Consider the following 23,375-nt stretch of genomic DNA (forward strand, 5'->3'; position numbering starts at 1 on the left):
GTGCAGTGGCTCACACCTGTAATCCCAGCACTTCGAGAGGCTGAGGCAGGCGGATCACCTGAGGTCGGGAGTTTGAGACCAGCCTGACCAACATGGAGAAACCCCGTCTCTGCTAAAAATACAAAATTAGCCAGGCGTGGTGGCGCATGCCTGTAATCCCAGCTACTCAGGAGGCTGAGGCAGGAGAGTCGTTTGAATCTGGGAGGCAGAGGTTGCGGTGAGCCCAGATCGTGTCATTGCACTCCAGCCTGGGCAACAAGAGCGAAACTCCATCTCAGGAAAAAAAAAACAAAACAAAACTGAATGGATATAGAAAGTTGAGGAAAGAAAGAGATTGGGAAAAAAATGTAAGAAATTATAAAAGTCTCTAGAAAGCTTATCTTGTGTCATCAAAGCTGATTGAAATTGGATGGGTTGGCTGGGCGCGGTGGCTTACACCTGTAATCCCAGCACCTTAGGGAGCTGAGGCGGGCGGATCATGAGGTCAGGAGTTCGAGACCAGCCTGGCCAACATGGTGAAACCCCATCTATACTAAAAATACAAAAATTAGCCAGGTGTGGTGGCGGGCACCTGTAATCCCAGCTACTCGGGAGGCTGAGGCAGGAGAATCACTTGAAACTGGAAGGCAGGGGTTGCAGTGAGCTGAGATGGCGCCACTGCACTCCAGCCTGTGTGAAAGAGCAAAACTCCATCAATCAATCAATAAGATGGATCAGCATTTCCATTGTACATACCACCCTTAGTCTTCCAGAGTGGTGGAAAACACAAATCAGATAATAAAAGAATCAATTGGCAAAGCTTATGCAAACTTTTAACTTTCCCTGGCTTAAGGCTCTTCCATTTGCTTGACTTACATTCTACCTGGTTTGGAAAACATCAGGTTTCTTTCTCCCTTTGAAATAGTAATGGGAAGGTCCATGTGCCTAGGATGAAGGAGCCTATGAACCAGCTTTCCTTAAAGGTGATATTCTTTGTTTTTGCTAAGGGCTTGTAAGCTTCTCACTAAAATTAAGGATTAATGAAGGATTTTTCTTTTTTTTTTTTCCAGATGGAGTGTCGCTGTGTCACCCAGGCTGGAATGTAGTAGTGCGATCTTGGCTCACTGCAACCTGCACCTCCCAGGTTCAAGCGATTCACCTGCCTCAGCCTCCTGAATAGCTGGGATTACAGGCGCACACCACCACACCCAGCTAATTTTTTGTATTTTTAGTAGAGACAGAGTTTCACCATTGGCCAGGCTGGTCTCAAACTCCTGACCTCAAGTAATCCACCTGCCTCGGTCTCCCAAAATGCTGGGATTACAGGTGCGAGCCACACACCCAGCCTAAGGATTATTTTAACAGTGAGCTCCCAGAATATAAGACCATCAAAGATCACAGTCTCCAACCTGGAGATTTTTTAAATACAAAAACATCAAATAGGGGACTCTTTCCAACATGTTAGAAGGAACCATATCAGGCAGCCCTGCCTCAGTGGGCATCTTCAACAGCAGAGATCTTCAATACCTTATTTTTCAGACTAGTACAAGGAATAGATGAAATATTTATTTGGTTACATTTATTTGTTTAAAAAAATTTTTTTTAGAGATAGAGTCTGGCTCTGTTGCCCAGGCTGTAATGCAGTGTCATGATTATAGCTCACTGTAGCCTTAAATTCCTGAGCTTGAGTGATCCTCCTGCCTCAGCCCCATGAGTAACGGACTGCAGGTGGATGCCACTTCACCTGGCTAATTTTTTATTTTATTTTTATTTATTTATTTTTTTGAGATAGAGTCTTGCTGTCACCCAGGCTGGAATGCAGTGGTGCAATCTTGGCTCACTGCAAACTCCGCCTCCTGGGTTCATGCCATTCTCTGGCCTCAGCCTCCCGAGTAGCTGGGACTATAGGCGACTGCCACCATGCCTGGCTAATTTTGTTTTTGTATTTTTAGTAGAGACGGGATTTTACCACGTTAGCCAAAATGGTCTCGATCTCCTGACTTCGTGATCCGCCCGCCTCGCCCTCCCAAAATTCTGGGATTACAGGCGTGAGCCACTGAGCCTGGCCTATTTTTATTTTATAGAGATAGGATCTTTCTATGTCGCCCAGGCTATTCTCAAACTCCTGACCTCAAGTGATCCTCCTGCGTTGGCCTCCCAAAGTTCTGGAATTATAGGCATAAGCCACTGCACCTGGCCTGGTACTTTTAGAAATAAGAACACTTTTCAGACCTGGATTTCAAGTTGTTTTGTCAATAATTGTCCTTATTTGCATCATATTTTTTATTCTTAAGCTGATTATGCTTTGTACTTTTAGATAACTAAGGTCAACAACAGAAAATGAATTATGATAGTTAGATGCTTAGAAAGAATCCAATATTCTGCAGCTTCCTTGTAAGCGGATGGCCTGACCAAGGTCCCATTGCTCTGTCTCTTTTTTTTGTTAATCAATTCAGCATTGAGACATCACTAAGTTCATAAGCCACAATACCTCTCCTCTCTTCCTCTGACATGGAACAAGGTTACCTGGGAATGAGCCTTCCCAGCTACATGGGAGAAACATACATCTAAAATGTTGAACATCAATGCTTTCAGAAGAGAAAGGTTTCAATCAAAAGAGAGAAATGAGAAAAAAAATCAGAGCAGTCTGAGGTACATGAGGTATGCAAAACTTATCAGGCACAAAGAGACATGAGTGGTCAGGCGCCATGGCTCACACCTGGAATCCTAGCACTTTGGAATGTTGAGGTGGGCAGATCACTTGAGCTCAGGAGTTCAAGACCAGCCTGGGCAATATGGCAAAACTCTATCTCTACAAAAAAACACAAAAAAATTAGCCAGGCATGGTGGCATGCACCTGTAGTCCCAGCTACTTAGAAGGCCGAGGTAGGAGGATTGCTTGAGCTGGGGAGGCAAAGGTTGCAGTAGCCAACATCGCGCCACTGCACTCCAGCCTGAGCAACAGAGACAGATCCTGTCTCAAAAAAAAAAAAACAAAAAAAAAAAACACATGAATATGGGACTTCAGCCACACACTCCTGCACTCATGCCTGGGGACAATGGTTTAAAGGCATTTTGTTATTTCTTTCTTTCTTTTTTTTTTTTTTTTTTTTTTGAGACAGAGTCTTGCTCTGTTGCCAGGCTGGAGTGCAGTGGCGTGATCTCGGCTCACTGCAACCTCCACCTCCCAGGTTCAAGCAATTGCCCTGACTCAGCCTCTTTAGTAGCTGGGACTACAGGTGTGCACCACCACACCCGGCTAATTATTTGTATTTTAGTAGAGACGGGGTTTCACCATGTTGGCCAGGATGGTCTCAATCTCCTGACCTCGTGATCTTCCCACCTCAGCCTCCCAAAGTGCCGGAATTACAGATGTGAGCCACCGTGCCTGGCCTGTTATTTCTTTTCTTCCCTGTAGGTTCCTGACTGCCTCACCCATTATCTTTTTTTATCTTTCTTTTGACAGGGTCTCACTCTGTCACCTAGGCTGGAGTGCAGTTGTGCAATCACAGCTCACTGCAGCCTTGACCTCCTGGACTCAAGCAATCCTCCTGCCTCAGCCTCCTGAGTAGCTGAGACTACAGGCATGCACTACTACACCTGGCAAATTTTCCTTTTGTTTTTCTGAGACGGAGTCTCAGTCTGTTGCCCAGGCTGGAGTGCAGTGACACCATCTTAGCTCACTGCAGCCTCCACCTCCTGGGTTCAAGCAATTCTCCTGCCTCAGCCTCCTGAGTAGCTGGGACCACAGGTGCATGCCACCACGCCTGGCTAATTTTTGTATTTTTAGTAGAGACAGGGTTTCACCATGTTGGACTGGCTGGTCTCAAACTCCTGACCTCAGGTGCTGGAGTTACAGGTGTGAGCCACCGTGCCCGGCCCTAATTTTTGTATTTTTTGTAGAGATGGGGTATCCCCATGTTGCCCAGGCTAGTCTCAACTCCTGGGCTCAAGTGATCCACCTGCCTCAGCCTCCCAAAGTGCTGAAAATACAGGTGTGAGCCACTATGCCCAGCCTCAGCCATTATCTTCCTGTTCCTGGAATTTGTGATATAAAGAACAATGTACAGCCAATCAATAGCTTATATTACTTTAACATAAATTCTTTTTTTATTTTTTTTGAGACAAGAGTCTCATCCTGTTGCCCAGGTTGGAGTACAGTGTTGCATTCTCGGCTCACTGCAACCTCCGCCTCCCGGGTTCAAGCAATTCTTCTGCCTCAGCCTCCTGAGTAGCTGGGATTACAGGCACATGCTACCATGCCCCAGTAATTGTATTTTTGGTAAAGACAGGGTTTCACCATGTTGGCCAGGCTGGTCTCAAACTCCTGACCTCAGGTAATCTGTCCACCTTAGCCTCCAAAAGTGCTGAGATTACAGAGGTGAGCCACCATGACCGGCCCTAACATAAATTCTTGATAAGCAACTTAGAAATTGCCTCTTCTATATTCCTTTAAAAACCCACTTATAACTGCTGTTAATCAGAGCGTATATTCAGGGCAACTTGAATCTGTGCTCCTGGGTTGTAGTCCATTAACTTGGCCCAAACAGACTCTGTACTTAGTTAATTTTTCCTCAGTTTTTTTCCTTTTGGTTAACAGAAGAAAACAAGGAAACAACAGCAAAAGTCTAGAGGGGAGGGTGGTGGGTGGGAGAGAGTGGGAATAGAGATCAGGACATGGACTTGCTACAATATATTATTATTGTTATTATTATTATTATTTTCCGAGACAGAGTCTTGCTCTGTCACCTAGGCTTAGTGCAGTGGGATGATCTTGGCTCACTGCAACCTCCACCTCCCAGGTTTAAGCAATTCTCCTGCCTCAGCCTCCTCTGTCAAAAAAAAAAAAAAAAAAAAAAGATTTATATTTTTCTTTTTTTTTATCAAGTCATAATCATGGAACAGGGTATGAAGAAGACCAAGTTGGGCTGGAACTTGGTTCCCTGACTCACATGAGCTACAACTCCCACCTCTGTCTGGCTAATTTTTGTATTTTTAGTAGAGATGGGGTTTCACCATGTTGGCCAGGCTGGTCTCAAACTCCTGACCTCGTGATCTGCCCGCCTCGGCCTCCCAAAGTGCTGGGATTACAGGCGTGAGCCACCATGCCCGGCCTAACAATATATTATTTAAAATGTCCACTTTGTAACACGAAGTTACAAGATGAGCAAAAAACATGAAAGTGTGATCCATACACAGGAGAAAACAAAACAGGTAATAGAAACTGCCTTTGAAGAGCCCAGATGTTGACTTTAGTAGACAAACAAATACTTTTTTTTGTTTGTTTGTTTTTGAGACGGAGTCTCACTCTGTCGCCTAGGCTGGAGTGCAAAGGTGCAATCTCAGCTCACTGCCAACCTCCGCCTCCTGGGTTCAAGCAATTCTGCCTCAGCCTCCTGAGTAGCTGGGATTACAGGTGCACACCATCACATCCGGCTAATTTTGGTATTTTTAGTAGAGACGGGGGTTTCACCATGTTGGTCAGGCTGTTCTTGAACCCCTGACCTTGAGATCCGCCCACCTCAGCCTCCCAAAGTGCTGGGATTACAGGCGTGAGCCACCGCGCCGGGCCTTTTATTTATTTATTTATTTTTTTTTGAGAGCATCTTGCACTGTTTCCTGGGCTGCAGTGCAGTGGCACAATCTCGGCTCACTGCAACCTCCACCTCCTGTGTTCAAATGAATCTCGTGCCTCAGCCCCCCAGGTAGCTGGGATTACAGGTATGCGCCACCACACCCAGCTAATTTTTGTATTTTTAGCAGAAATGGGGTTTCGCCATATTGGCCAAGCTGGTCTTAAACTCCTGGCCTCAAGTGATCCACCCACCTCAGCCTCCCAAAGTGCAGGGATTATAGGCGGGAGCCCCCACACCTGGCCTAGCATACAAATACTTCCAAGCAGCTATTACAAATATGTTCACACAACTCTTAGTTGGTTCAGGCTGCTATGACAAATTACCATAGACTGGGTGGCTTAAACAACAGAAATTTATTTCTCATAGCTATGGAGGCTAGGAAGTCTGAGATTTTGGTGCCAGCATGTTCATGTTCTGGTGAGGGCCCTCTTCTGATTGCAGACTACTATGTTCTTACTGTATCTCATATGGCAGAAACAGACACTCTCTGGGATCCCTTTCTTCTTATTATTATTTTTTTTGAGATGGACTCTCGCTCTGTCACCCAGGCTGGAGTGCAGTGGCACGATCTCGGCTGACTGCAAACTCCGCCTCCCAGGTTCAAGCGATCCTCCTGCCTCAGCCTCCCAAGTAGCTGGGATTACAGGTGCATACCACCACGCCCGGCTAATTTTTGTATTTTTGGTAGAGAGGGGGTTTCACCATGTTGGTCAGGCTGGTCTTGAACTCCTGACCTCAGGTGATCCACTTGCCTCAGCCTCCCAAAGTGCTGGGATTACAGGCATAAGCCACTGAGCCCAGCCCCCTTTCTTTTCTTTTCTTTTTTTTTTTTTTTGAGATGGAGTCTCGCTCTGTTGCCCAGGCTGGAGTGCAGTGGCATGATCTTGGCTCACTGCAATCTCTGCCTCCTGGGTTCACGCCATTCTCCTGCCTCAGCCTCCCAAGTAGTTGGGACTACAGGCGCCTGCCACCATGCCTGGCTAATTGTTTCTATTTTTTAGTAGAGATGGGGTTTCACTGTGCTAGCCAGGATGATCTTGATCTCCTGACCTCGTAATCCGCCCACCTCAGCCTCCCAAAGTGCTGGGATTACAGGCGTGAGCCACCACGCCTGGCCTCTTTTTTTTTAATAATAGAGATGGGGTCTTACTATGTTGCCCAGGCTGGTCTTGAACTGCAGCCTCCAGCAGTCCTCCCACTTCAACCTCCCAAAGTGCCAGGATTCTAGGTGTGAGCCACTGCACCTGGCTTGGGGTTCCTTTTTATTTTTTATTTATTTTCTAACTTAAAAAAATGTATTTCCATAGTTTATTGGGAAACAGGTGGTGTTTGATTACATGAGTAAGTTCTTTAGTGGTGATTTGTGAGATTTTGGTGCACCCGTCACCCAGACTGTATACACTGCACCCAATGTGTAGTCTTTTATAAGGGTTCCTTTTTAAAGGAAGGGTACTAATCCCATTCACAAGGGCTCCACCCTCATGACCCAAATACCTCCCAAAGGCCCTACTTCCTAATACTATCACTTTGGGGATTAGGATGTCAACATATGAATTTTGAGGGGACACAAACAGTCCATTGCAATGGGTAAAAGATTTGAACAGTAACTTCACCAAAGATGCACTGATGGCAAATAAAAAGATACTCAACATCATTAGTCATAGAGGAAATGCAAATTTAAATCAGAACAAATACCACTACACACCTATTAGAGTAGCTGAAGTTAAAAAGAGTGAGCATATTGAGTGTTTATGACAATGTCTGGTGCTTTCTTCTTGGTGGTAGAAAGTGGAAGATGCAATAATTTGTTTTTTATTTTGGAGGAAATGTCCCAGATTACTGGGACCCTAAAAATTTTACTGGGTTGGGCCCAGTGGCTCACACCTGTAATCCTAGCACTTTGGGAGGCCAAGGCTGGTGAATCACGAGGTCAGGAGTTTGAGACCAGCCTGACCAACATGGTGAAACCCCATCTCTACTAAAAATACAAAAATTAGCCAGGCGTGGTGGTGCACGCCTGTAATCCCAGCTACTCAGGAGGCTGAGGCAGTAGAATCGCTTGAACCCAGGAGGTGGAGGTTGCAGTGAGCCGAGATCATGCCACTGCACTCCAGCCTGGGTGACAGAGCGAGACTCCATCTAAAAAAAAAAAAAAAATGTACTGATGTGGTGGGCCTCTGAATTGCCATAGGGTTTATCTCCTATTCATTGTAACATGAATCTTCCAAAGGACTATATCATGCTAGCCACTTATTACTTATTTGATCAGTTTAGTACAATGCCATCAATATAACAGACCTATAGTATTCTGAATATAGTATTCTGAAGGATAGCCAGATTATTTATTTTTCTTCAGTTTATAGATTGACAGAGGCAGGAGAGGTAAGATAACTTTGGGCAACACTGAAATGTATACTGTTGTCCATTCCAAGTGAATGTGAACTGTTTCTGATTCTCATATCTGGCAGGGGCAGGAAAACAACACACTCAGCAGAATAATCGCCATATATCATCTTCCTGAGGCTGTGATAATCTGCCTAGGCCAGTATACCACATCTGGCACAGCAGCTGCATTTGGGACTACTACTTGACTGAGTTTGCAGTAGTCCAAATGTCTTTCTCCAGGATCCATCTGATGTTTTTTGGGGGTCGTATTGGTTAATTAAATGGGGATATAAGGAGTACACTATCCCTGATGTCTTTAAGATAGTTGTATATTTTGGCTGGGCGTGGTGGCTCATGCCTGTAATCCCAGCACTTTAGGAGGCCAAGGCAGGTGGACAACTTGAGGCCAGGAGTTGGAGACCAGCCTGGCCAACATTGCAAAACCCCATCTCTACTAAAAATACAAAAAAATTAGCTGGGCATGTTGGTGCACGCCTGTAATCCCAGCTACTCAAGAGGCTGAGGCAGGAGAATCGCTTGAACCTGGGAGGTGGAGGTCTCAGTGAGCCAAGATGGCACCATTACACAGGAGCCTGGGCAACAGAGTGAGACTCTGTCTCAAAAAAAAATAAAATAAAAATTATCTTTTTAACCATCTGTGCAAGTTCCCTTGGCTACCATGCTGACTTTGCCAGTCATTATGATTATATCCACCTGGCTTTTAATGGTTAAGCTATCTGATATCTATGGGGGTGTGCACAATTATTGTTATTCACATTGCTATTAGAGAGCCCAGATTAATGGCTTCTTCTAACTTCAACCCTGACCTACAGAGAAAAGCCACTGTTTGACTTAGTGATGCTTGGTGTCCCCTCACCAATTCATTCCTTACAGTTTTAGTAAATGGTGTCTCCTTCAAGCCCTCCCATGGACTATTAGGGTATGGATTCCTCTTAGGAAAAGAACCTTTTCTGAATTCACAGATAAAATATATCTGTTTGAAATGTAGAATTTTCTAGTTACAACTTCTGAAGTCAAGCCCATCAAAATACAGAATATATATTGCTAATATTTTGTATATTCCCTGTGCTGTAAATACCTGGATCTATTGTGCCAAATTTTAGCTAATACAAGATTATTAGTGTCAAACAGCAAATATAAAATTATTAGTGCTTGAGATAAAAAAATGGTATATTATTTTAACTAGAAATTGTTTGTCTAATATTCACAAACTCCATCTTTTAACCCCATTGTAACATGCACAGCTTCTGTAAATTTAGTTCATACTATTATATTTAACTCTACCCTATGAATGTAATTCAGCATAGCCAATTCCCCCACGTGTATAGACATTTTTATGTCATTTCATCCCTCTGACACTGTCTCATTTCTGCCTCTTCAGATAGCACTCACAACTATATCTCTCTCAGAAAGAAGACTCATGTACGCTACAAGGAGGTATTATAGAATCACTTCCTATGCTTTTTTTTTTTTTTTTTGAGATGGAGTGTTGTTCTGTCACCCAGGCTGTAGTGTAGTGGCATGATACCAGCTCACTGCATCCTCCGCCTCCTGGGTTCAAGCAATTCTCCTGCCTCAACCTCCTGAGTAGCTGAGATTACAGGCACCCACCACCAGCCCCAGCTAATTTTTGTATTTTTAGTAGAGACGGGTTTTTACCATGTAGGCCAGGCTGGTCTTGAACTCCTGACCTTGTGATCCACCCTCGTGATCACCTGAGCTTTTTTTTTTTTTTTTTTTCCTGAGATGGAGTCTCTCTTTGTCGCCCAGGCGGGAGTGGAGTGGTGCGATCTCAGCTCACTGCAACCTCCACCTCCTGGGTTCAAGTGATTCTTTTGCCTCAGCCTCCCAAGTAGCTGGGACTACAGGCATGTGCCACCACACCCAGCTAATTTTTTTGAATTTTTAGTAGAGACGGGGTTTCACCATATTGGCCAGGCTAGTCTCGAACTCCTGACCTCGTGAGCCGCCCGCCTCACCTCCCAAAGTGCTGGGATTATAGGAGTGAGCCACTGCTCCCGGCCCACCTCGGGCTTTTAAAAAAAAAAAAAAAAATTGAGAAGATGGTTTCTATCTAGAGAATTGGTGTTCAGATCTTACTGCAAAAGGCTAATTTTTACTGACTTATACAAATGTTATATTTTTCTACTGTTTCATTTAACCCAACAACATTTCATCCCCACCATGAGAAACCTAAACAAGTTGAAATAAACCCCAAGCTTGGAGTAGTAAATTAGATTAGTAAAGTAGGTTAAATTAGTAAAGTAGATTTCTGCTTCTCCCTATCAACATCCTTTATTTTTATTTTTTGGTTCCCAGTAATAGCATCTGCCAATAGAACTTTTTTGAAAAAAATGTTCCTTTGACAGCAATTTATTGAATGCTTTTTACATGCTAAACACTATGGATAGAAATAGAGCATACAGGCCAGGCACTGTGGCTCATGCCTGTAATCCTAGCACTTTAGGAGGCCGAGGTGGGTAGATCACGAGGTCAGGAGTTCAAGACCGGCCTGGCAAACATGGTGAAACCCCGTCTCTACTAAAAATACAAAAATTAGCTGGGCGTGGTGGCATGCACCTGTAATTCCAGCTACTCAGGAGGCTGAGGCAGGAGAATTGCTTGAGTCTGGGAGGCGGAGGTTGCATTGAGCCGAGATCACACCACTCCCTCCAGCCTGGGTGACAGAGTGAGACTCTGTCTCAAAAAAAAAAAAAGGGAAAAAATAAATAGAGGATACAGAGATAAACGAGATAATTCCTGCCTTTGGGAAGCTCCCAAACTAACTGGAGAAACACTTCTAAACAGATAAGGAGGGCTGGGCATGGTGGCTCATGCCTGAAGTCCCAGCACTTTGGGAGGCTGAGGGGAGGAAGATTACTTGAACCCAGGAGTTTGAAACCAGCCTGGGTGACACAGCAAGACACCAATGCACTCCAGCCTGGGCAATGGAGCCAGATCCTATCTGTAAAAAAATAAAATAAGGCCGGGCATGGTGGCTCACGCCTATAATCCCAGCACTTTGGGAGGCCAAGGCGGGTGGATCACAAGGTCAGGAGTTCAAGACCAGCCTGACCAAGATGGTGAAACCACGTATCTACTAAAAATACAAAAAGCCAGGCATGGTGGCAGGCACCTATAATCCCAGCTACTCGGGAGGCTGAGGCAGGAGAATCGCTTGAACCCAGGAGGCGGAGGTTGCAGTGAGCTGAGACTGTGCCACTGCACTCCAGCCTGGGCAACAGAGTGAGACTCCATCTAAAAATAAATAAATAAATAAAATGAACAAATAAGGAGCACTACTGTATTAAAAATGCTGTAAAGTACTGTAAAGATGGCAACAGAGTGCTAAAGGAAAACGAAGTACCTCTCTGCCTGGGAGAGTTGAGAAAGGTGGTGATATATAAGCTGAGCACTAAATGATGAACAGTTATTTGACAAAAAAGGAGGCAGAAATTTTAAAAAAAAATTTAAAGAAGGAGGCAGGAAAGGGTCTTTTCAGGCAGTGAACATTACTAGCTCCATTGGTGAGTTTGTTAGTAACTTTGCGGACCATACTAGAAGACAAGAGGGGTGTTCCTTCCTGTACTACAGAGAACCCAAGCAGTAGCCAATCAGCTCTATGCGCTAGATTATAAGCATCTGAATATATATATATATATATATATATATATATTTTTTTTTTTTTTTTTTTTTTTTTTTTTTTTGAGACGTCGTTTTATTCCCGTTGCCCAGGCTGGAATACAAAGGCGTGATCTCGGCTCACTGCAACCTCCACCTCCCAGGTTCAAGCAATTCTCCTGCCTCAGTCTCCCGAGTAGCTGGGATTACAGGCATGCGCCACCACCCTCGGCCAATTTTTTGTATTTTTAGTAGAGACGGGGTTTCTCCATGTTGGTCAGGCTGGTCTTGAACTCCTGACCTCAAGTGATCCGCCCGCCTTGGCCTCCCAAAGTACTGGGATTACAGGCGCGAGCCACCGTGCCCGGCAAGCATCTGAATATCTTAACGTGGACTTATAATAATGGAACAGCAGTTAACCAAAGCAGGGTCTAAGATGAAAGACTGCCTGAAATCATTCCTAAACACATGCTCATGTGAGGATGCCTCACTTACCTGCCATGTCTGTGAGTACAAACCTGGAGTTTGTTTTTTGGGATTTTTTTTGGTGGGGGGGATGGAATCTCGCTCTGTCACCCAGGCTGGAGTGCAGTGGCACAATCTCGACTCACTGCAACCTCTGGCTCCCAGGTTCAAGCAATTCTCCTGCCTCAGCCTCCCGAATAGCTGGGATTACAGGTGCCTGCCACCACACCCTGCTAAGTTTTGTATTGTTAGTAGAGACAGGGTTTTGCCATGTTGGCCAGGCTAGTCTCGAACTGCTGACTTCAAGTGATCTCCCGCCTCGGCCTCCCAAAGTGCTGGTATTATAGGCATGAGCCACCACGCCTGGCCTGAGGTTTGTATTATGGTGTAATATCACAGTGGTCCTTGGGAAAGAGCTCCTCTCTCCCTTGGAATACATTTTCTTTTCTTTCTTTTTTTTTTTTTTTTTGAGATGGAGTCTCACTCTGTCGCCCAGGCTGGAGTCCAATGGTGCGATCTCAGCTCACTGCAACCTCCACCTCCAGGACTCAAGCCATTCTTCTGCCTCAGCCTCCCAGGTAGCTGGGACTACAGGCATGCACCACCACGCCTGGCTAATTTTTGTATTTTTAGTAGAGACAGGGTTTCACCATGTTGGCCAGGCTGGTCTCAAACTCCTGACCTCAAGTGATCCACCCATCTCGGCCTCCCAAAGTGCTGGGATTACAGGTGTGAGCCACCGTGCCCAGCCTGGAATACATTTTCCCAGGTTCTTAAAATTTAGTCCTTTACAAATCCATGAAGAAAGAGGAGGAATCCAATGACAATTTAGAGTTGGGCTCCTTGGTGGAGTGAGGACTGCTTTTTTTCACAAAGTACCCTTAACCTTGGTTAGTTTGGATCATCACAGTTTGAACCCTGTCAAGGTATAATTTTCAAAAAGTTGAAAACATGACTCATACAAATATAGTATGAACATGTGTCAAGTATTTATTAACTTATTATAAGGGAACCGATAAGATGGTAAGTAAAGCTGGTTCAAAGAGCATGTTGAAGAACTAAGTATTCACAGATATTTAAGAAGGAATGGCCAGATGTGATGGTTCACACCTGTAATCCTAGGACTTTGGGAGGCTGAGGCGAGAGGATCACTTGAGTTCAGTTTGAGACTAGCCTGGGTAACATGGCAAAACCCCATCTCTACAAAAAATACAAAAAATTATCTGGGCATGGTGGTGGGTGACTGTAGTCCCAGCTACTCAGGAGTCTGAGGTGGGAGGATTGCTTGAGCCCAGGAGGTAAAGGCCGCAGGGAGCCAAGATGGCACCACTGCACTTCAGCTTAGGCAACAGAGCCAGACTCTATCTCTTAAAAAATAAAAGAAGAAGAAGAAGAAGTAATGTTATTAGCAGGGAAGAGGTGTTAAAGTACTAGATTAGATATAAAACTGGTTTATGTCTAAATCAGTTTATGTTTAAATACATAGGGCAGTAAACTGTTAACCTTTAGGGCTATCTTTTCTATTGGATAACATGTAGCATACAACTTCAGAGTCTAAGTTAATGGATAATAAATAGCAAAGTCAGGTGGGGTGCAGTGGCTCATGCCTGTAATCCCAACATTTTGGGAGGCCAAGGCAGGTAGATCACCTGAGGTCAGGAGTTCAAGACCAGCCTGGCCAACATGGTGAAAGCCCGTCTCTGCTAACAATACAAAAATTAGCCAGGTGTGGTGGCGCATGCCTGTAATCCCAGCTTCTTGAGAGGCTGAGGCATGATAATTGCTTGAATCTGGGAGGTGGAGGTTGCAGTGAGCCGAGATGGCACCACTGCACTCCAACATGGGTGACAGAGCAAGACTGTCTCAAAGAAAAAAAAAACAAGTAAAACAAACAAAAGCACATTCCCTTAGCCTGGATAACTAAATTATTCTTGGATGAGACTATCATGTCTCTCAATCTCCAGTATGACATTGAAAGTACATGCCACCTACCTTTTATCTTGTTCCCACGTTTGAAATAATTTTTCTTTTTTTTTTTCTTTGAGACGGAGTTTCACTCTCGTTGCCCAGGCTGAAGTGCAATGACACACTCTCGGCTCACTACAACCTCCACCTCCTGGGTTCAAGTGATTCTCCTGCCTCAGCCTCCTGAGTAGTTGGGATTACAGGCATGCGCCACCACGCCCGGCTATTTTGTATTTTTAGTAGAGATGGGCGTTCTCCATGTTGGTCAGGCTGGTCTTGAACTCCCTACCTCAGGTGATCCACCCGCCTCGGCCTCCCAAAGTGCTGGGATTACAGGCGTGAGCCACCATGCCCTGGCTGAAATAATTTTTCTTAACACCTTTATATTTCTTCAGCCAAGCATTTGAACCCTCTGCCCCTCACCACTCATCAGTATGCCTTTATATGTCCCAATGCCTTCTATACTTTCCCCCCATGCATTTCACACACTTACACCTCAGAATCATTGCCCCCCCTGTTCTCCCCTCAACCAAGAACCCTGTGGCTCTTTGCTGAAGTCAAGGTACTACTTTTCCTCAAGGGCAATATGGTTGGCACCTCCCCCATAGAATCAGTGCTGTAATGAATCCAATCACCCTTGATCATTCTTCCAAATTACTTAATACCTATCTTTCTTAGCTTGTGTAAACAAAAGGTGTCTTGGGATTTCACTATTTTATTTACTTGGAATCTCTCTAGAGACATCCTGATGAAAAAGAAAGTCTTCAACTATTAAGGCATTTGGCCCTGTTTAATTGGATTTGACTGCTTGGGCACACCTGCACAAAAGCTTTCAAATGAAATGTGCATTTTTTTTTTTTGAAACGGAGTCTCACTCTGTTGCCCAGGCTGGAGTGCAGTGGCGCTATCTTGGCTCACTGCAAGCTCCGCTTCCCGGGTTCACACCATTCTCCTGCCTCAGCCTCCCAAGTAGCTAGGACTACAGGCACCCGCCACCACGCCCGGCTAATTTTTTGTATTTTTAGTAGAGACAGGGTTTCACTGTGTTAGCCAGGATGGTTTCGATCTCCTGGCCTCGTGATCCGCCCGCCTCAGCCTCCCAAAGTGCTGGGATTACAGGTGTGAGCCACCGCGCCCGGCCTGAAATGTGCATTTTTGTTGCATGGGCCTAATTTAAAACTGGCCCAAGGGGACATTTTGTACAATCGCCGAGAAATTTGCAATCTCAGATTGAGACTTAAAATTATTAAATTCAGCTTTGACTGAATTTTTGATGCAAAAAAAAATCACGAAACCTTAAATACTGAACCACCAAAGAAGGGTGATAGACAATTAACTCTGGCTGTTAGCCTGTGTTACTGTCATTACAACACTTAAAAACTGTGCTAGGGTAAATTAAACCTTTTGGGTTTCAGTAATTAAGATACCCTGAGAGGAACACAACCTCATAGATCTTGGTTTCTTGTGTTGTGTAGTTAAGTGGCCTTACAGGCTGGCTTGTGATGATGTCAGAGAATGGGATGTGGAGCTTAACTGTTCTTAGCATTTTGCTAGGCCCTATGAGGTAGAGGAGGCATTTTTCCCAATATAGAGTCATGTAGCTTATATGTGGTGTGGAAATAAATGAAGACCAACCAAATAAGAACAGGCAAAAGCGATTTCATCAGAGCTTGCTATAGCAAAGGAGTCAGACATCATCACATGTTTTGGCAGAGACTCAAAGTCAGGCAAAGGAGTGGGAAAGCTTTATGGTGGAAAAAAGGGAAGACTTCAGGTGTGACTCAATTAGAACCCATGAGTGGTCTAATCAGAAGTGGGACATCCTATATGGATATTTGGCTTTCTTTCATTGGTCCTAAATTGGAAGCAAGGACAAAAATTACGTAAGCTATCTGTTATTATTCAAGTCCTGGCTGTTTGGGGCTGATTGTTACAGGGTTGTTGTTTGGCTTCCTGGACTGGTTGCTAAAGATAGGGGTCTGATTTCCTTCAAGTCTGACTTATAGATAGTAGGCTAGTTACTGTAGATAATGGGTTGGTTTCTTGGGCTGGTGGCTGCAGATTATGTATCAGAGTCCTATTTTTATATACGGTCTTGCTATTGTCCATTTGCATATTCAGTCTCTCTGTGTTAAAACTGCTTGAATCTGGGGCTTTTTTAAAAATAATAGAGGTGGGGTCTTGCTATGTTGGCCAGAGTGGTCGCAAACTCCTGGCCTCAACAGTCCTCTTGACTCAGCCTCCCAAAATGCTAGTGTGAGCCACCATGCCTGGCCTGAATCCAGGGCTTTTTTATTCCACAGCTATGTTCTTTCCACTATTGAATGCTATCAGATAATATCAAGGAATTAAATAAAATATAATCAGCTTCTCCCTTTTCTCCTTCAAACACATCAGCCAACAGCTTTTTTCTTTTCTTTTCCTTTCTTTTTTTTTTTTTTTTTTTGAGATGGAGTCTTGCTCTGTTGCCCAGGCTGGAGTGCAGTGGCACGATCTCTGCTCACTGCAACCTCCGCCTCCCGGATTCAAGCAATTCTTCTGCCTCAGCCTCCCTAGTAGCTGGGATTACAGGTGTTCACCACTATGCCCACCTAATTTTTGTATTTTAAGTAGAGACAGGGTTTCACCATGTTGGCCCAGCTGGTCTCAAACTCTTGACCTCAAGTCATCCACCTGCTTTGGCCTCCCAAATTGGTTGGATTACAGGCATGAGCCACCAAGCCCAGCCAAGAAATCATTTCTAATTTAGGCACAATAGGAGGTTGAATCACATCTGATGTAAGGCTTGTGGACTACAGGCATTTAACTGCTGAGTGAGCTTAGTTACACGTGCAGTATCCTCCTTTTCGTACATTTCTGATGTTCTCTTTTTGCCATAAAGTATACAATTTAGTAGTATTAAGTACATTCACATTGCTATGCAGCCATAACCACTATCCATTTCCAGAACATTTTCCTCATCCCAAACAAGAACTTTGTATTCATTACATGATAACTCCTCATTCCCTCCTTTCTCTACCCTTGGCAAACACCATTCTACTTCTGTCTGACTACTCATACAGTATTTGTTCTTTTTGTCTGGCTTATTTCACTTAGCATAATGTTTTCAAGTTTCGTCCATTTAGTAGCATGTATCAGAATTTCGTTACTTTTTAAGGCTGAACAAGTACTCCATTGTATGTATATATTACATTTTGTTTACCTATTTATCTGTTGTTGCATATTTGAGTTCTTAAAGTTAATTACACTAAGTATTATAGTTAAGAAGCACCAGTTTTTCTTCTAATACTATATTTGGAAAAATGGGGAGACAAAAATAGTACAAGATAGAGATGCTCAATCTGTAGCTTGTGGCGAAAAGATTCACAAATATACAGTAAGTAATCAGAGATGGAGGTAACCTATCAACCAGAATGTGACAATGTAAGGAACTTTGGAATAGGCAGAAAAGAGGACTTGGTGTCTCTAATAAAAAGCTATGCATTTTTAGTGCACACTCTTACAGGTAATCTAAATATAACTCTATCACTCTATCATTGCCTTTGAGCTACTTTACAACTCTGTAAGTTGTAGATAACTGATATTAATGCAAAATAATTCTTGTATAAACATGAAAATAAATTATATTCTGTGAAAAAAAAGTTTGGCTATTGTGAATAATGCTGCTATGAACATGGGTGTACAAATATCTGTTAGAATCCGTACTTTTGATTATTTGTATATATACCTGGGAGAGGAATTACTGGACCATATGTTAATTTTTTTTTTCTTACCATGAGTTTGACTTTTTTTTTTTGAAACCGAGTCTGGCTCTCTTGCCCAGGCTGGAGTGCAATGGTGCGATCTCGGCTCACTGCAACCTCTGCCTCCCGGGTTCAAGCGATTCTCCTGCCTCAGCCTCCCGAGTAGTTGGGACTACAGGCGCGCACTACCACGCCCAGCTAATTTTTTGTTTTTTTAGTAGAGACAGGGTTTCACCATTTTGGCCAGGATGGTTTCGATCTCTTGACCTTGTGATCCGCCCGCCTTGGCGTCCCAAAGTGCTGGGATTACAGGCGTGAGACATCGCGCCCGGCCACCTAGCTAATTTTAAAATCATTTTTTGGCCAGGCGCGTTGGCCCCCCTCGCCAATCCCAGCACTTTGGGAGGCTGAGGCAGGTGGATCATGAGGTAAGGAGTTTGAGACCAACTTGGCCAACATGGTGAAACCCAGTCTCTACTAAAAATGCAAAAATCTCACTATGTTGCCCAAGCTGGTCTCGAACTCCTGAGCTCAGGCAATCTGCTGCTTCAGCCTCCTGAAGTGCTAGGATTACAGGCATGAGCCACCGCGCCCAGCGGATGATGTTTTTGATGTCGTATCTAAGAACTCTTTGCCCAACTCAAAGTCACAAGATATTTTCTCCCATGTTTTCTTATAGAAGTGGTTTTGTTTTGTTTTGTTTGTTTGTTCATTTGAGACAGAGTGTCACCTTGTCGCCCAGGCTAGAGTGTAGTGGTGCGATCTCGGCTCACTGCAACCTCCGCCTCCTGGGTTCAAGCAATTCTTCGCCTCAGCCTCCCGAGTAGCTGGGATTACAGGCACCCGCCACCATGCCCGGCTAATTATTGTATTTTTAGTAGAGATGGGGTTTCACCATGTTGGCCAGGCTGGTCTTGAACCCCTGACCTCAAGTGATCCGCCCACCTCAGCCTCCCAAAGTGCTGGGATTACAGGCATGAGCCACTGCACCCAGCCGATTTAGCACCTTAATCAAAAATCAACTGACCAGCACTCACATTCCTGATTTCAAAATTTATTACTCCAGTCTGGGTAACCTAGTGAGACCTCACCTCTACAAAAATAAAAAGATAAATTAGCCAAGTGTGATGGCAAGTGGCTGTAATCCTAGCTATTCAGGAGGCTGTGACAGTAGGATCGCTGAGCCCAGGAGATCAAGACTGCAGGGAGCTATGATCAGTCGTGCCACTGTATTCCAGCCTGGGTGATAGAGCAAGGCCCTGTCTCTAAAAAAACAAAAACAAACAAACAAAACTACTGATAATCTACAGGTCACATTTGGCAGGCTTCCAAATTAACCTGCCTAGAAAAGGTCTTAGGATTCTTGGCTTACATTCTGTCCCTTAATAAAAAATCTTGGCATGCCTGTAATCCCAGCACTCTGAGAGGCTGAGGCAGGCAGATCACTTAAGCCCAGGAGTTTAAGACCAGCCTGGGCAACACGGTGAAACCCCATCTCTACACAAAATTCAAAAATTTTGTGGTTGTGGTGGTGCCATCTGTAGTCCCAGCTACTTGGTAGGCTGAAGTGGGAGGATTGCTTGAGCCGGGGGAGTTCAAGGCTGCAGTGAGCCACTGCACTCCTCCAGCCTGGGGCATAACAGAGCGAGACCCCGTCTCAAAAAGACAAAACAAAACAGGCAGGGCACGGTGGCTCACGCCTGATCTTGCGGTGAGCTGAGATCGCGCCACTGCACTCCAGCCTGGGCGACAGACTGAGACTCCATTTCAAAAAAAAAAAAAAAGAAAAAATTACCTTTTTTTTTTTTTTTGAGGCAGAGTTTTGCTCTTGTTGCCCAGGCTGGAGTACAATGGCGTCATCTCAGCTCACCACAACCTCCGCCTCCCGGGTTCAAGCAATTCTCCTGCCTCAGCCTCCCAAGTAGCTGGGATTACAGGCATGTGCCACCACGTCCAGCTAATTTTTTGTATTTTTAGTAGAGATGGGGTTTCTCCATGTTGGTCAGGCTGGTCTTGAACTCCTGACCTCAGGTGATCTGCCCACCTCAGCCTCCCAAAGTGCTCGGATTAAAGGCTTGAGCCACCACGCCTGGCCAAGAACCTTCTCTCTTAACCTGAGTTCCTCAGCCTTAATGTGAGTTCCTCAAACTGTTGACATACTAATTAATATGTATCTACTGAGACTGAAAAAGACACTAATTTCTTTCTAAATCATGAAGTTTTACTGATTATCTTATATGTAAAACATTTTAGCCTATATGTTGTAATCTGTAGCCAATGATTGACCCTCTATATTATACCCTCTAGTGGAAAAAGACAAAGATAACTCTGCCTGGTGTGGTGGTTCACGCCTGTAATCCCAAGGCTTTGGGATAAGCGTAGAATTTTTAGAGAAGAATTAAAAATAATGCTGTGCCTAGGCAACATAGTGAGGCCCTGTCTGTACAAAAATAATTAGCCTGGCCGGGCGCAGTGGCTCACGCCTGTAATCCCAGCACTTTGGGAGGCTGAAGCAGGCGGATCATCTGAGGTCAGGAGTTCGAGACGAGCCTCAACATGGAAGAACCCCGTCTCTACTAAAAATACAAAATTAGCTGGGCGTGGTGGTGCATGCCTGTAATTCCAGCTACTCGGCAGGCTGAGGCAGGAGAATTGCTTGAACCTGGGAGGCGAAGGTTGCGGTGAGCTGAGATAGCGCCATTGCACTCCAGCCTGGGTAACAAGAGTGAAACTCCATCTCGAAAAAAAAAAAAATTAGCCAGGCGTGGTGGCATACACCGGTACTCCCACTACTTGGGAGGCTGAGGCAGGTGGATCGCTTGATCCCAGAACCGTGAGGTTAGAGCAAGCTATGATTTTCCACTGCACTCAAGCCTGGGTGACAGAGCAAGACCCTGTCTCTAAAAAAAAAAAAAAAATGCTGGGCGCGTTGGCTCACGCCTATAATCCCAGCACTTTGGGAGGCCAAGGCAGGTGGATCACCTGAGGTCAGGAGTTCGAGACTAGCCCGGCCAACACGGTGAAACCCCGTGTCTACTAATAATATAAAAAAATTGCTGGGCAATTTTACAGTGCCTGTAATCCCAGAACTTTGGGAGGCCGAGGCGGGCGAATCACAAGGTCAGGAGATTGACACCATCCTGGCTAATACAGTGAAACTTCATCTCTACTAAAAATACAAAAAAATTAGCCGGGCGTGGTGGCGGGCGCCTGTAGTCCCAGCCATTCGGGAGGCTGAGGCAGGAGATAGCGTGAACCGGGGAGGCGGAGCTTGCAGTGAGCCGAGATGGCGCCACTGCACTCCAGCCTAGGCACACAGAAAGACTCCCTCTTAAAAAAAAAAAAAAAAAATTAGCTGGGCGTGGTGGTGCATGCTTGTAATCTCAACTACTCGGGAGGCTGAGGGAGGACAATCACTTGAACCCGGGAGGCAGAGGCTGCAGTGAGCCGAGATAGTGCCATTGCACTCCAGCCTGAGTGACAAGAGCGAAACTCCGTCTCAAAAAAAAAAAAGAGAGAGAGAGGGGGCTCTGATATGGAGTCCCCATCGCTTCTCCTAAAATTTCTTATAAAAACATTCCAGGCCAGGCACTTTGGGAGGCCTAGGCGGGCGGATCACGAGGTCAGGATATCAAGACCATCCTGGCTAACACAGCGAAACCCCGTCTCTACTGAAAATACAAAAAAAATTAGCCAGGCGTAGTGTCTGGCTTGCGCCTGTAGTCCTAGCTACTCGGGAGGCTGAGGCAAGAGAATGGCGTGAACCCGGGAGGTGGAGCTTGCAGTGAGCCGAGATGGCGCCACTGCACTGCACTCCAGCCTGAGCGACAGAGGGAAATTCCTTCTCAAAAAAAAAAAAAAAAAAAAATTCCAGGCCAGGCGTGGTGGCTCACCTCTGTAATCCTAGCACTTTGGGAGGCCAAGGCAGGTGGATCACTTGAGGTCAGGAGTTTGAGACTAGCCTGGCCAACATGGTGAAACCCCGTCTCTACTAAGAATACAAAACAATTAGCCTGGCGTGGTGGTGGGAGCCTATAATCCCAGCTACTCAGGAGGCTGAGGCAGGAGAATCACTTGAATCCAGGAGGTGGAGGTTGCAGTGAGCCAAGATCGCACCACTGCACTCCAGCCTCAGCGATAGAGACTGTTTCAAAATAAAACAAAAAAACCCATTCCAATTTATAACAGTTTAGAACACGTCCAACTTTGTTTATTTATCTTCCTAGGTTTATCCTCACATTTGGCTTCCAATAACCTTTATCAAATTATTTCTGCCTCAGCAACCTTAATTTTGGTTGGCAAAATGACATAGGTGGCAGGATTTCAGAGTGACCTCCCTAGACCAAAAGCAGCTTCCAGCCTTTGTGCATGTACGGGCAACAAATCCACTGTGTTCCCGAACTTGGATGCCCTGCTGGGCTACAGGTGAGTTTCTACCAAAATCAGGCTGGGCACAGTGGCTCATGCTTGTAATTCCAGCACTTTGGGAGGCTGAGGCAGTCAGCTCACTTGACCCCAGCAGTTCAAGACCAGCCTGGGCAACATAGTGAAACTCCGTCTCTACAAAACGTACAAAAATTAGCTGAGTGGGGCCAGGCACAGTGGCTCACGTCTGTAATCCCAACACTTTGGGAGGCTGAGGCGGGCGGATCATGAGGTCAGGAGTTCAAGACCAGCCTGGCCAACATGGCGAAACCCCATCTCTACTAAAAATACAAAAATTAGCGGGGCATGGTGGTGCGTGCCTGTAATCCCAGCTACTCGGGAGGCTGAAGCAGGAGAATTGCTTGAACCCAGGAGGCGGAGGTTGCAGTGAGCCAAGACCGCACCACTGCACTCCAGCCTGGGGACAGAGCGAGACTCCGTCTAAAAAAAAAAAAAAAGCTGAGTTTAGTGGCATGGGCCTCTAGTCCCAGCTACTTGGGAGGATCTCTTGAGGCCGGAAGGTCAAGGCTGCCATGAGCTGTGATGGAGCCACTGTATTCCAGTCTGAGCAACAGGGCAAGATCCTGTTTCCAAAAAAAAAAAAAAAAAAATTCAATGAACTTCGTGTCTTCGTCAAAGTTCTGTTTGTTTTGTTTTGTTTTCAGACAGGGTTTCACTATGCTGTCCAGGCTGGAGTGCAATGGTGTGATCTCAGCTCACTGCAACCTCTGCCTCCTAGGCTCCAGAGATCCTTCTTCCTTAGTCTCCTGTGTAGCTGGGGACCACAGGTGCATACCACCATGCCTGGCTAATTAGTTGAGGTCCTGGTTTATTGAAGCTAGTTTCCTCCTTGGCTAGGAGGTACAATGACTCTCTCAGAATCAGAGTTACTGCTGTGAATTCAAGGCAAGAGTTTCTGTTGAATTCTAGGCTAGGATAAAATGGGACCTCTGTAAATTGTCTCACTGGGGTTTTGGTGTGAGACAACTTTTCCTTAGCTTCCTCCTTTTTCAATTGCATGAGCGTGCTCTTGCTCCACTACATAGCTTGTTTCATTCAAAACAACCAGGATGGAAAAGGGGTCCTCTAAAACTGAAGATGCGCCAGCTAGGTTTTATGAATAATGTTTATGGGT

General features: G+C 45.1%; 1 long non-coding RNA gene across 1 annotated transcript in view, besides 2 other annotated features; it reads left to right on the top strand.

Moving 5' to 3' along the window:
- Positions 1-23,375, top strand: part of KIF9-AS1 (KIF9 antisense RNA 1) — a 79,747-nt gene that overhangs the window by 14,009 nt on the left and 42,363 nt on the right. The window lies entirely within an intron of this gene.
- Positions 9,287-9,487: a silencer, noted in NCBI's record as "peak4632 fragment used in MPRA reporter construct". NCBI's record gives its function as "represses an SCP1 promoter by STARR-seq MPRAs in K562 erythroleukemia cells {active_cell/tissue: K562}" and the evidence as "EXISTENCE:reporter gene assay evidence [ECO:0000049][PMID:32103011]".
- Positions 19,058-19,558: an enhancer, noted in NCBI's record as "H3K4me1 hESC enhancer chr3:47238926-47239426 (GRCh37/hg19 assembly coordinates)". NCBI's record gives its function as "activates a minimal SCP1, AML or CMV promoter by ChIP-STARR-seq in naive H9 embryonic stem cells {active_cell/tissue: H9 hESC(naive)}" and the evidence as "EXISTENCE:reporter gene assay evidence [ECO:0000049][PMID:30033119]".

This window comes from Homo sapiens, chromosome 3, assembly GCF_000001405.40.
Source record: "Homo sapiens chromosome 3, GRCh38.p14 Primary Assembly".
NCBI lineage: Eukaryota > Metazoa > Chordata > Mammalia > Primates > Hominidae > Homo > Homo sapiens.